Source organism: Homo sapiens, chromosome 11 (assembly GCF_000001405.40).
Source record: "Homo sapiens chromosome 11, GRCh38.p14 Primary Assembly".
NCBI lineage: Eukaryota > Metazoa > Chordata > Mammalia > Primates > Hominidae > Homo > Homo sapiens.
Genome location: NC_000011.10, coordinates 88,111,122 through 88,124,154, shown reverse-complemented (window position 1 = coordinate 88,124,154; position 13,033 = coordinate 88,111,122). Strand labels below are relative to the sequence as shown.

The window sequence follows — 13,033 nt, the reverse complement described above, 5'->3', positions numbered from 1 at the left end:
GACTAAAATATTAATTTATTTAGCTTTATCAACACATCCATTTTTACACATGGTTCTTCTTCCTATTTGTTTTCACCCAAGGTAACATTATTCTAACAATGCTGGCAGAAATAGTTTCATTTATGCTATCTGGAGAAGCAAGAGCTTCAAACTCTCTACTAAAGAGTTAAGGGCTAGGGCATAAGAATCATATATAAGAAAAAAATTAACTCTCTAGTTTGGGAGAGAAATGAATTTGTTAAGCTAGAAGTGGGTCTTATCCATAAAAGTTCTTAAGAGAGGAAGATGTTGTTAAAATCATTATATGTACTATATAGTCGTAAAAATACATAATATTACTTAACTTCTACATTTGCCCCAGTAAAATATTCCTAATTCTCATAATTCTGCCAGATGGGTATTATCTCTGCCTTATAGGTAAGGCCAAAGAAAATTAAATATTTTGCCTAAGTACATTTAGTTATTAAATGCACTGAAATCACCTGTGGAGCAACAGAATATAAAGAATATTTTTAAAAGAACAAAATTAGGACTTCAACCTATGTCTGCTTTACTGCAAAGCCTACAGTAGTTCAGCTCAACTTTTATATACTGGTTTCTTCAGTCTTCCTTCCATTTCACCTAAAAGAATGGTATCAAATAATAACTGGAAAGCAAAATAAGGACAGGCAGTTGGACCTGTAAAGTAAATTTTCTTGTGAACATGTTTTCTTTTTTACTTTCTGCAGAAATCACCCATGTCTAAAATTATTTTCAGTGAAAGCTGAACTGGTCACTCTTCCAAAGTCCTTGTTCATTCATTTATTCAGTCAGTCATTCGCTTAGTCTGTATGTCTTCTGAGTGCCTACTGTTTGTAGGCACTGTGCTAGACACCAGGATGGGGCAATGAAACTCCTGGAAGCTCCCAGTCCAGTAGAGGATACACAAACAAAGCATTACATACTGACCAGTGGGTAAGTGCCAGAATAGAGGGATTCCTGCTCAGCCTCGGGGAGTCAGGGGGGATTTCCCATGGGAGGTGATCACTGAAGAATGACCTGAAGGAAGAAGAAGGAGACAGGAGATTGTATTCATTGGAGGACTAATTATGTAATGTTTAGGTATTTCATCTGTGTATATCGTTTAACAAGAATCTCATGAAATATAGTGACGATTGGCCTCATTTTTAAGTTAAGGAGTAGAGGCTCAGGCTTTTCACTTGTCCTTTGTTTAACAGTAAGTGGCAAAACCAAGTTTTAAAGCTTGACTCCAACATGCTTTCTCTTTCCATTTTATCCTACTGTATTTGGGACAATGATGTACCAGTCTCAGTCCTCAGTCTTGGCACATAGAGGTGCCAGAATAAAAGCATTTAATTATCATAAAAATAAATTGTGAAACTCATAATTTATGTAATTTCTACCATAGATAGCACTCAATAAATAACACTTTGAGTTGAATAAGTCTAGCAAATACTGTGGCAAAGTAGTTTATCCTATATGTGTCTCAGTCTCCTCATCTGTAAGACAGAGTTAATAGTTTATCCACCTCTCAGGGTGTAGTAAGGGTTAAATGAGATTATGTATGTAACATACATGGCATGGTGCCTAAGTGTTCAATAATAAAGTGTTCAATAATTGTTAGCAATTATTACAATTAATATTTTGTGTCTGGTTGACCATTTATCTTTTCAAGCTGATTAATGAGAAAGTAGTTGAACTAAAGGCTGCTGTTTTTCATGAATGGGGTTTGTTAAGTCTGGCTAAACATAATCTTTATGCTTATCTTTATTCTTTCTTTTCAAGACTGATTATTGGGTATCCCAGCACTGTTTCAGTAAAAGACTCACAGTGAGAACAATTAAAAACTTACTGAATTAAAAACAAAATATTAATAGAGGCAATATCTATGAATATTCTGGTTCTTAATGGCAATTACTGGTAAGTCATACATTATATATTGGATTTGGAAAATGTATCTCGGGAATAGTAAACTGTCAAAAAGACTCAAGAGCTGTGTCTGCCTCGTATTAAGGTTATGGGGTCTGGTGCAAAAAAGGCGAGGATGTTGAACTCAGATTATTTTCAGGGGCCAGGAACTTAACAGAAATGCACATTTACAGACATCTACACATAAAAATAAATAAATAAATTGATCAATTAATAACTCTGGGCTACATGTAACACATTGTGGACTGTTTGTTCGTAACTTTTGCGATTTAGAAAGAAGCAGTAGCCAAAAACTTAGAAAACATGGGTCCTCATTCCTTCAATAGACATTTATAGGGAGCAGTGGGTTAAGAGCAGGGGCTCTGGGCCGGCGCGGCAGCTCACGCCTGTAATCCCAGCACTTTGGGAGGCCGAGGTGAGCAGATCCCGAGGTCAGGAGATCGAGAGCATCCTGGCCAACATGGTGAAACCCCGTCTCTACTAAAAATACAAAAAATTAGCTGGGCGTGGCGGCGGGCGCCTGTAGTCCCAGCTACTCAGGAGGCTGAGTCAGGAGAATGGTGTGAACCTGGGAGGTGGAGCTTGCAGTGAGCCAAGATTGTGCCACTGCACTCCAGCCTGGGCGACAGAGCGAGGCTCCGTCTCACAAAAAACAAAAAAAGAGCAGCAGGGGCTCTGTTCTTGAGTCGGGCTTTGCTATTTGACATTTGTGAAACTTTCAGGGATTGTATTATGAGTGTCTGAACATGGGCTGCAAAACCAGGTGCCAAAAGTTTGACTTGCTGGCTGTGTGACTCTGGGAAAGTTATTTAATTTCTCTATACCCCTGTTTCCCCACCTGATTTTGTGAGTACAAACTTAGTACCAGTAAAATACATGCCATCAGGCTTACAATAAGTTATCCATAGGCATCAGCTATTTTTGGTAATATTACTGTTTAGATACCTCATATGCATTAGGCACTGTGCTTGGATCTAGGAATACAAATATAATAAAAGATAATCCTTGTTTTCAAGGACACAGGCAACAGGCAGTTAGGATGTAGTGGTGTCAATGGAGGTGGGTACGAAGTACCAGGGAACACTAAAGATAATGTTTCATGGTGCTAAGAGAAGGCTACTCAGTAGAGATATTTCCAGAAACATGGAGGTATGCAGGTAGCCAGAGCTAAGAGGTGAGGCGCATTCTATAATAGCATATTCCCTGTGAGGCTCAGTAGCCTGTGTGATGCTAGGCAGATCACTTTCTGTCTCTTTGCCTTAATTTCCTGATGTGTCAAAGAAAGCAGGGCGAATTAGTGATACCTAAGTTCCCCTCCTCTCTAATATTTGGTGATTCTCTGTGAGCTTGGAGATGTTTCATGGCTGAAACAGAGCACTAGAGGTGGCTAGGGTGATGGGAGGGAGAACTTTTGGTACGTAAGCGGGGAGACCTAGGAGGTATAAGGCTCTAGAGCTACAGAAAGGAGGTAAGAAAAATTTGAAATACACTTTGACATCTAAAGAATAAAGGACAGAGGCTGAGGTAAGGCCATGGTGGGGATGAGGGAGGCATTGTCAGAGGGACACAATCTTAGGAGCTCCCTTTGTGAACCTTTCTCTTCACTATATCCCATTTCTCCATGCTGACAATGTGACTTTGTCCTATGTTAAAATAAGTGACAATGTGGCTCAGTCTGTCCTTCCCAATGACTGTTACACCAAACTCTGGTAACTTTCATACAATAGGGCATCACTGAGACCTGGCTTCTCTGCGTCACATTCACCATGTACGCCTTCTCTTCATGGAGATACCATGGTAAAGTACAAAACTGTGGGCTTTGGATTCAAATAGACGTTGGCTTGGACACTAAGAAAATGTAGGCCATAGACTCTAAGAAGAGAGCAAGGAGAAGAGAAAGAGAAAATATAGGCAGAAGCCAGGTTCTGACCCTTACTATCCCTGAGACCTTGCACACATCATTTAGTTTCTCTGGACTTCACTTTTGTCATCTGTTAAAGGAGGGCAGTAGCTCCCATCTCAGAGTTATTGTGGTGATTAAGTGAAATGCCATATTCTGAGAATAATGTCTGAAACATAAGGTCAGTTTAGGGGAGCCCCAGTAGAAGCTAATGATTGCAGTGGAGGAAAGCAGGTATCCAAAGGAAATGGGAGGTTGATATGAGGGACAAGGGAGGACAGAAGTGCTTAACAGACAGGTGTCCACTACACTAGCACCCATGTTAGGTGTTAATGATGATTAATAGAAAGCTAGCAAAATCTTTGCCACTTATGTGCTCAATAAACAAGTGCTAAATCTTCTCAGAGAAAGGATTTTTAAACCCCTGTTTTGTGTAATACTTTTTGTACAGTGGTGTTATTATCCAGTAGGCCATCTGCTCTAATTAAAATTTCACAGGGCTGGGGAATTTAGTGCCCTAACCTTGGAGTCTCGGGTACAGTTGGTGTTTTGTTTGAGGTTGATGTATTTGGAAAGATTATGGGAGGATGAATTCTTTGCCAGCTTCTAACTAGGCAGATGTGAAAATTTTCTGCTAGGATTTTTTTTTTTTTTTTGGCTCTCTGGTGCTGGGGGTCAAAGATTAAATACTTTGCCGCAAGACAGATGTTCTGAAGAGCTAATTAAAAAACTGACAAGTAACCAGGACCTCTGATGGTTAGTTGTATGTGCCTTCCTCCACCGAAAGATGAGAATCACTGTGGCTTAGAGTGATTATATTAAATTGTATTTCCAGAAAGTTCACAATTGGAATAAAAAGGACAGTCTCTTTAAAGACATTCTTAATTATATGAGTGTGTCTCAAAATTGGCTGTACATTTTAAGTGTAGAATCTTTTTAAAAAATTATGAACAACTTTATTTTTAAAATTAAATTTGTTTAAATTTCAACTTTTAGATACAGGGGTACATGTGCAGGTTTGTTATATGGGAATATTGTGTGAGGCAGAGGTTAGGAGTATGAATCCCATCACCATGCCTAACTGGGAATTTTTTTTTAATGCTCATGCTAGGTAGGGCCCCATGTCAGACCAATTAGATCAATGTCTGGAAGGAGGGCCCTGGTAACATATTTGTTTTAACTTTACAAGGGATATGAATATACAGCCAGGATTGAGAAGTTATAATTTCTAAATAATATCCTAGGATCTATTTTATTCCTAGGATTCATTGTAATGTAATGTATGGGGAGTAGGATGGGAACTGGAATTGGGATAGTCTTGGTTGAAATGACAGATTGGCTAAGATAATGTTCTGCTCTGGATAAGTTACTTAAGCTTTTTTCTAGCTCCCTTACCTTTAAAATATGACCATTACCTCTCCAATAGATGTTTGTGAATATTCAATGTGAGTATTATTTAATAAACAAAGCACCTGCTTAATTAACTCCATTTGTTTTTAGTAAAATTCTTTGTTAGGAATTTTAGCCTGTTTCTGAGACTTGCTGATCAGTACCAATGAAAGATTCTGAGCAGTGGTGCAAAGAAGAACACGCATTACCTTAAAACAGTAGACCATCTTGTCATACTGCAGATATAGAAATAAATCACAGTGATATCCAGTCCAATTTTACCTGTCCTGGAAGTCAGAGTATATACATTTCCTTTCTAGCAAAAGATGCCCCTGGAGATGTTGTGACTACTCCCTATAATAAATGCAAATGAAAATTTCCAGGTAGTGTTTTTCACTTATTCTGGCAACTCTGTTTCTATACAATCACCCAGAAAATGTGGGCTTCACTGTGTCTATTTGGATGCCAACTAGCTCAATCAATTATATTGCAATCTAATTGCCCAAAGGGTCTGAACCTGCAATTCTATCAGGCAGGGTCTGATTATCCATGCTGACCTTGGGTTAATGGGGAGAGGGAGGTTTGTTCTATATTGCTATTTCTTCTCCTAGCCTAGGCCCTTTGGCCATGACCTGATTGGTATATAGAAAGTCAGAAAGACCAGATATGGTTCGAAGTGCCAGTAATACAAATCAGCCTTGCCTGATTCCTGGTTGCATGCTCCTACCTTGCATGCTGGAACCAGGTGCTCTGCCCATTGTGTTCCTTTATTTATTTTGGGATATATTTGGGGGGGAGCTGAGATAAGGATTTGGCTTCAAGCTTGTGCTTTAAACAGTATACGTCTTGCCTTTTGTAGTAAACATGTGGTAAATATTAGTATTTATTCTTCTCCCTGAGCTCACAGCTGGCCATCCCAATTACTAGTGTGTGACTTGGGGCCAGTCACTTTCCCTGTCTGAAGCTCAGTATCTTCAACTGCAAAATGAAGGAATGGAAGGCACACACACATTGTGTTCTTCTGATGGTTAACTTGTATGAGGAGAATATACAGATAACATTTATTGAATGTGTACTGTATGCCTTTCACTGTTCTAAGTATTTCATGTTTCAAGTATTAATATATATTAACTTACAATCATTTGTGAGGTAAATTTTGAATTCTCTCTTTTACAGATGAGGAAACTGAAGCATGAAGTGGTTAAAGTAATTTTTCTGAGGTCATGCAACCAGAAAGTAGGGGAACTAAGATAAGGGTTTGTCTCCAGGCCTGTACTCTAAAGACTATACCCCTTGCCTTTTTGTAGCGTGCCTGTGGTAAATATAGTCAAAAGCATTTTCAGTTCTTCCTGGCTTTCTCTTAAAATTTCTAATCTGAAATATGTATACCATGACAATCAGCACCTTGGTACACATGTATTAGGTATTCACTAAATAGTTACTGATAGGTCAGCTGTTAAAGTGCTAAGGATCTGTACAGGCTTGTCTAGTAATGGACTTTTATAGTACTGTGGTTACTGACATTTTACCTGAAAAAAACCCTCAATGGCTCTACTTGACAAATTTAGTATTCAAGGCTCTACAGAGATCTGGCACCCTGATGCCCTTTCCAACCTTTTTATGCTTTTGCTATTTACACAAACCCTGCTAGTAGGTAAGCTCAGTCAGGAATGAGATGTATCATCTGTATATTGGTATGCCTAGTACTTAGTGGAAATCTAAATACTATTAATTGGGTGAATGAACCTGACTCAGTCACCATGAACTGCTACTCTTTGTACATGTAGTCTATAAGCAGTCATTCCTTGGCTCTGCCTGTTTCCTTTCTCTAGAGCCCATCCTTCATGGTCCGCTCTCCTAGGCCTAATACCATCTAGACTTTACTTGGTGTGTTAAAACTCGCAAACAATTTAAACAGTGTTATCTTATATTTTCACTAAAATGACCCTGCTAGGTTGCCACTAATTTGAGCTTAGGTTTCAGTTCTTTTTCTCATAATGATAATGGATTTTCATTGATTTTCCCACACGCATTGAATTCTCCTCATTAGTAGATTTTGTCAATTTGCACGTTATGATGAAGGAAAACCTGTTTAACTGGCAGTTAATATATGAGTGGAGGTTTAAAAAATACTAACTTTTATCTAATTTTTATCATATACGAAGAAAGGCCCTTTCTAATGTTTAAAATTGTTTTCCTGTCATATAAACATGTTTTTATTATAATATATGGAAGATAAATAAACTAGCATTATTTAACACTAACTGGGTCTAACACTGAAGAACTAACTTTTATTTGTGATTGTTCCTGGTTTTCTGAACAATCTGGAAAAGGAATGCAGCTTAGCAAAAGCCAGGCTTTGATGTCAGAAAGACCCAGTGTAAGCTCTGGCCTCCCAGCCCACTTGCTGTGTGATTCTGGGGAAGCCTTTTAACCCCTTACAGATAAGCTTTCTTGTCTGTAAACATATGTAGTAATATCTCATGTTTGGTATTTGGGGTATAATTTTGTTGCCTCCTTCTCCAACACACAAACAATAGCCAAATGGGAATCAAAGTATTGGCTTATTAATGGCCAGGCAAGTACGTTAAAACCATTCAAATAGGGCTTCTTTAATGAGATGTGATGGCTCTTAAGTGGAAGTCTGGGCGAGGAGACCCCTTTTTACCTTCCTGAATGGGACACAGTAGGGGACCATCGGACAGGCTTCCACTCAGTCACATAGCAAGTGGCAGGGCTCCGGAACAAAGTGTTGAGCTGGGTCCGTTCCAAAAAGCAAGGCCCTGCCTAGGTCAGTTGGTTGCCTGGGAGCAGGGAGTTCAGGTGTGACCCTTAGACGTGACACTAAGAAGAGGAAGAGTGGCAGAAGACATGCTAAGCACAGGCAATGACTTTAAGGCACAGGAAGTTGCCCAACAGGGGATGGGGCAGAAGCATTGCTGTTCTCTCAGGACTGGATTCCATAGAGTGAGGAAGATACTTGAGCTGAAGGAAGAAATGCCATCCCCACCCTTACCCCAACAATAATAACAAAATCCATATGGACAAAAAACATAATCTTTATCTTAAAGGGTGTTAAATGGGATTAAATAAGATTACTTACTTACTATTGAAGTCCCTAGCAAGTTCACATTGTGAAAGCAATAATGTCTGCTGCACTCTGTCAAGGGAAGCAAATTTTTATTAGGTAAGTGTTATCATCAAGACCATTTTATAGCTGGGGAAAGGGAGGCTTAGAGAAAGGAAGACTGGTCTGGTAAAAAGCAACAACAATAATATAATAAGCAAAAAAGCAATCACACTTTTACCTTGTGTTTTGGATTTAGAAAGCCTGGGAAACATTTTCTTTAAGGCTCTCTAGAGAGGAGATAAATAATTAGGCTATACTTGTCTGGAACTCCAAAGTTACCTTAAGCTTTCATAGCTGGTGAACTCAGTTTCAGGCTTGAAGGATGGAGAACCTGCTAATAAACATTTACAACTAAGGTCATTAGTCATGGATGCCATTTGGAAGCCAACAGTACTTCTTATATTTTCCAAGTAATATGACTCCATTCAATGATCTCAAAATATATCAACAACTTTGACATACATGCAAAAATCAGGGATAAGTATTTCCACTTCAGATTGGACAACAAGGTTCTGTAGTAAAACATTTTAACAACGAGAAAGCCTTGTCTCTTTAAGTATGAAGAAATACATCAAAGAAGTTCTACAAATTGTGATTAAAAACAATCAAATTTAACTTTATTGCAGATCTTTAACTACTTTTTACCTAATCAAAGATATTTATTTTAGTACACTGGTAGTATATTTTCTATATGTCTTAGGTTTCTGACCAGCAGGAACAAAAAAAGCAGTTTAACTTATACTACTGACATATTTTAGATTCAAATGTTTGCTCCATATTTTTTCCAAATTCAAGTTTATTTCATTTTTGAACCTAAACTTATATTTCCAGTTTTACTTTTTTCCTTGAGGAGTTATATCCATCTGGAATGTCTAGATAATGCCAGGGTTTATTTGGGGTAATAACCTCAAATCTCAGTGGGTTAAAATAGCAAAGATCATCATTCTCATGCACACTACATAGCATGGGCTGATTGGGATACTTGCCTCTACTTGATTCTCACTCACAGACCTTATCCAAAAGAGTTTCCATTGCTGTGCTTCCACAGGGAGAAACAGAAAAAACAGGAAACTGAGCACTGGCTCTTATTGCTCCTATATGAAAGTGACACACATTACTTCTCACATTTTGACGCCCAACAAGTCACATGTCCATGGCTAAGTTCAAAGAGGTCAGAACAGTGTACTCTTCCCCATTTCACTAGAATATAGAGACCCAGAAATATCTGTGAAACCATTAATGCATACTATAAAAGATGTCTTATCATTCTTATTTTATATCAAGGTCACAAAAATAGTATGTGGCAGAGGGCAATTATAAATCTAAGTCAGATTAAAGGTTTATGTTTCTTCTACAATATTTTTATAGTTTGAGTATGTGAAAATGTGAAAATAAGAAAATTGCCCTCTAACTGAAATTTAACCTACTAAGTACATTTACCAGACACCATTCCTCCTATATGACATAGCAAAATAAATACTTCTTTTTTGAGGAACCAAACAGTAAAGTTCTTTGAAGGAACAAATAAGAGTGAGGGAAACAGGAGGGGGATGCATATGTAGCATATAGGAAGGAATATTTAAATGAATTGTCACATATAAGTCTCTGCTCTAGCATTATTTCAGAGTATTGAATAAGAAAAGCTGTTTTATTTTTTCCCTCATAGGAAAATATAAACATTGATGAAGCCTCCAGATGCCTGGTGAAACACATACTTGCAAATGAGTGTGACCTAATGGAGTCTATTGAGCCGGACGTCGTGAAGCCCCATCTCACATCAACCAAGGTTGCCAGCTGCTCTGGCTGTGCCAAATCCTAGTAGGCACCTTTGCTGGTGTCTGGTAGGAATGACCTCATTGTTCCACAAATTGTGCCTCTATTTTTACCATTTTGGGTAAACGTCAGGATAGAGATACCACATGTGGCAAGCCAAAGATCTATGCCTCTGTTTTTTCAGTGAGAGAGAAATAGCAAATGTTCTTTCTATGCTTTCCTCACCATCATCACAGTGTTTACAAACTTTTGAAAATATTTAGTCTGTTACAAACTTCTGTCATGTAGCTGACCAAAATCCTGCAGGGCCACAGTCGGCACTGTTATTTGCTTCTTTTAATCAGCAAAGGCCTCAAGTCTTAAAATAAAAGGGGAGAAGAACAAACTAGCTGTCAAGTCAAGGACTGGCTTTCACCTTGCCCTGGTGTCTTTTTCCAGATTTCAGTATATTCTCTGATGGCCTGACAGGCCTATTAAGTAGATGTGATATTTTCTCCCAAGATGACCTCCATTCTCGGCAGACCTAAGAGTTGCCTCTGAGTTAGCTCTTTGGAATCGTGAACACAGGTGTGCTATATTGTCCTTGTCCTAACTGTCACTTGCCATGGCCTGAATGTTGGCTTAACTGAATATTGTATGAAAAGACATGCCTCCATATGTGCCTTTCTGTTAGCTTTCTCTGACTCAAGCTGTGGGGCTCCTCTATACATGCTATACATGTAATATATATTATATATATTTTTGCAAGTGAACAATAAAACATTAAAAGATGCTGTTTCCCTATTTATGAAAGTGCTTTAAGTTTCTTAGTGTTGTGAAGGGATTTTTTTTTTTTTCGGACAAAGTAAACAGGGTTCTCAAGATCCATTTCTAAAATTTTATTTCAAGGAGGAGATGAGAAATGTATGCTTAAAGAAACTGCTGGACACTATTAAAACTGGGATGAGTCTATGCCATCTGCATTTACTGTTCATATTGACATTTAGGCTACAGAGTGTACAGTGCATATACATATTTTTAGTTAATCAGAGGAATATGTCCTCATAGATTCTGATTAAGAAAGGTGCCAGATCAATCAACATAAAAAGAAACAATAAAATATGCATTGTGACACCTTGGTTTACACAGTGGTTGTGGTGCTGACACGTGCAGGTAGCTATTATTTTTTAATGTCATTATTTCATATTAATATTTGTAATACACTCACAGGAGTCGTATATACATATATATATATATATATTTTGTTGTTGTTGTTGTTGTTGAGACGGAGTCTTGCTATGTCACCAGGCTGGAGTGCAGTGGCGCGATCTCAGCTCACTGCAACTTCCACCTCCTGGGTTCAAGCGATTCTCCTGCCTCAGCCTCCTGAGTAGCTGGGACTACAGGCATGTGCCACCACGCCCAGCTAATTTTTGTATTTTTAATAGAGACGAGGTTTATCAGGATCCTGCTATTTTCCTGTAAGGGTCTTGACTTTAGTGGAGGAAACGTGGTAGCTCTGTCAGCTTGGCCTCTTACAACTCTGCAGGATCCTGAGATAGAGGATGAGATATGTGGGTACATATCCTTAAGAGTCTTGAATCCCCAAATTCTTTGGAAACTCTGACCTAGAAAAAGAGGCCTTCTACTCTTTCCAGTGGGAGAACAGTTAATTGCTACATAAAAGCCCTGCCTCAGTAGGAAGTTTTAAGGTGAGGCTTGCCCATATCAAGTTCTGCCCCCATTTCTCCTCATTGCTTCTAGACAAATAACTAGGGCCAAGTCTCAGCATGATCTGAGTGGAAAAGGATGATCTGTGTTGCAGGATGAAATGGATTATTTATCAAATGAACTACAGAATCTGGCTAGTAAATATTAGTAGTAATGTAGAGAACAATCCATGAATTGGTCTTGATATACTGAAATATTGGATCATGGCGATAAGGCCGGATAATAGATACTCTACTTATATGAGGAAATACTTTCATGAGTTAATTTTTAACATTCTGACAAGTCTACCTGGCATTGATTCTAATATGCTATTGGAATGGCTTGGCTCCTTGAAGCTTATAAATGATTCTGGCCTGAAATAAATGATGTGGACATGCCAGAACTACATTGGCAAAATACTGGAGAAGAGATCCAGGGTCTCATAGAAGTGGGAATGTTAGAGTGTACTTATTTTGAAAGGCCGGAGAATCTGCCAGCTCATTGTGTTCTCCAGGAGAGCCTAGAAGACAATCACTTTACTAAAGCAAGAAGTGTTCCCAAAAGAGGGATACCTGCATCAATGAGAAACTCAGTAGTGATTGTTCTCTATTGACCAGGCTTGAGATTATAGAGATGTTGCTCTGTTTTTATGGGACTGGCTTCCTTCATATTTAAGGGTCATTAAGTGGTAGACTATTAAATGGTGCTGGCATATTTGGTTCTGTGTCTTAGACATCTAGGACCAAAAGATGGAAATAAGAGTATAGCCTCTCCCTGTTACTTTTAATAATCTACTTAAGAAAATGAGTTTCTCCTTGCCAGAACTTCAGGTTTTCCATAATTGGAGGTCTTAATACTTCTACCAGAAGACATAGTAAGGGTTCCAATAAATCTACAGCTTCAGCTGCTGTCTGATTAATTTTGGCTCCTCAGGCCTATAAACCAGCAGTTAGAGAAGGTAGTTACTATACAGACAAGGGTCATTCACCATAATGATCAAAAGGAAATGGGGTTGCTACTAGATAGTGGAGCAGAAAGTAGTGTGTCTGGAACTCATGGGATTCACTGGGGTGCCTCTTGATGCCTCCATCACTGGTGATATCTGAAAGGGCAGTTGCAGCAGCAACATCTTGATAAGGACGAGAAGTCAGGGACTCATACTCTCAGGGATAAATGTCTGAGTTATTGCACTATGCAATGAACCTTGATTAGAAGCAGTTTGG

General features: G+C 38.6%; 1 protein-coding gene across 3 annotated transcripts in view; it reads left to right on the top strand.

Moving 5' to 3' along the window:
• The window catches only part of RAB38 (RAB38, member RAS oncogene family), a 371,729-nt gene that overhangs the window by 51,289 nt on the left and 307,407 nt on the right, over positions 1 to 13,033 (top strand). The window contains exon 3 of one of the 3 annotated variants that reach the window (NM_022337.3): positions 10,015 to 10,904. The exons of the other annotated variants lie outside the window; for them this stretch is intronic. Within the exon in view, the coding sequence (NP_071732.1) occupies positions 10,015 to 10,167 (153 nt within the window). The 3' untranslated portion in view covers positions 10,168 to 10,904. Of the gene's footprint in view, positions 1 to 10,014; positions 10,905 to 13,033 lie in introns of those variants that run through there. 3 annotated transcript variants of the gene reach the window in all.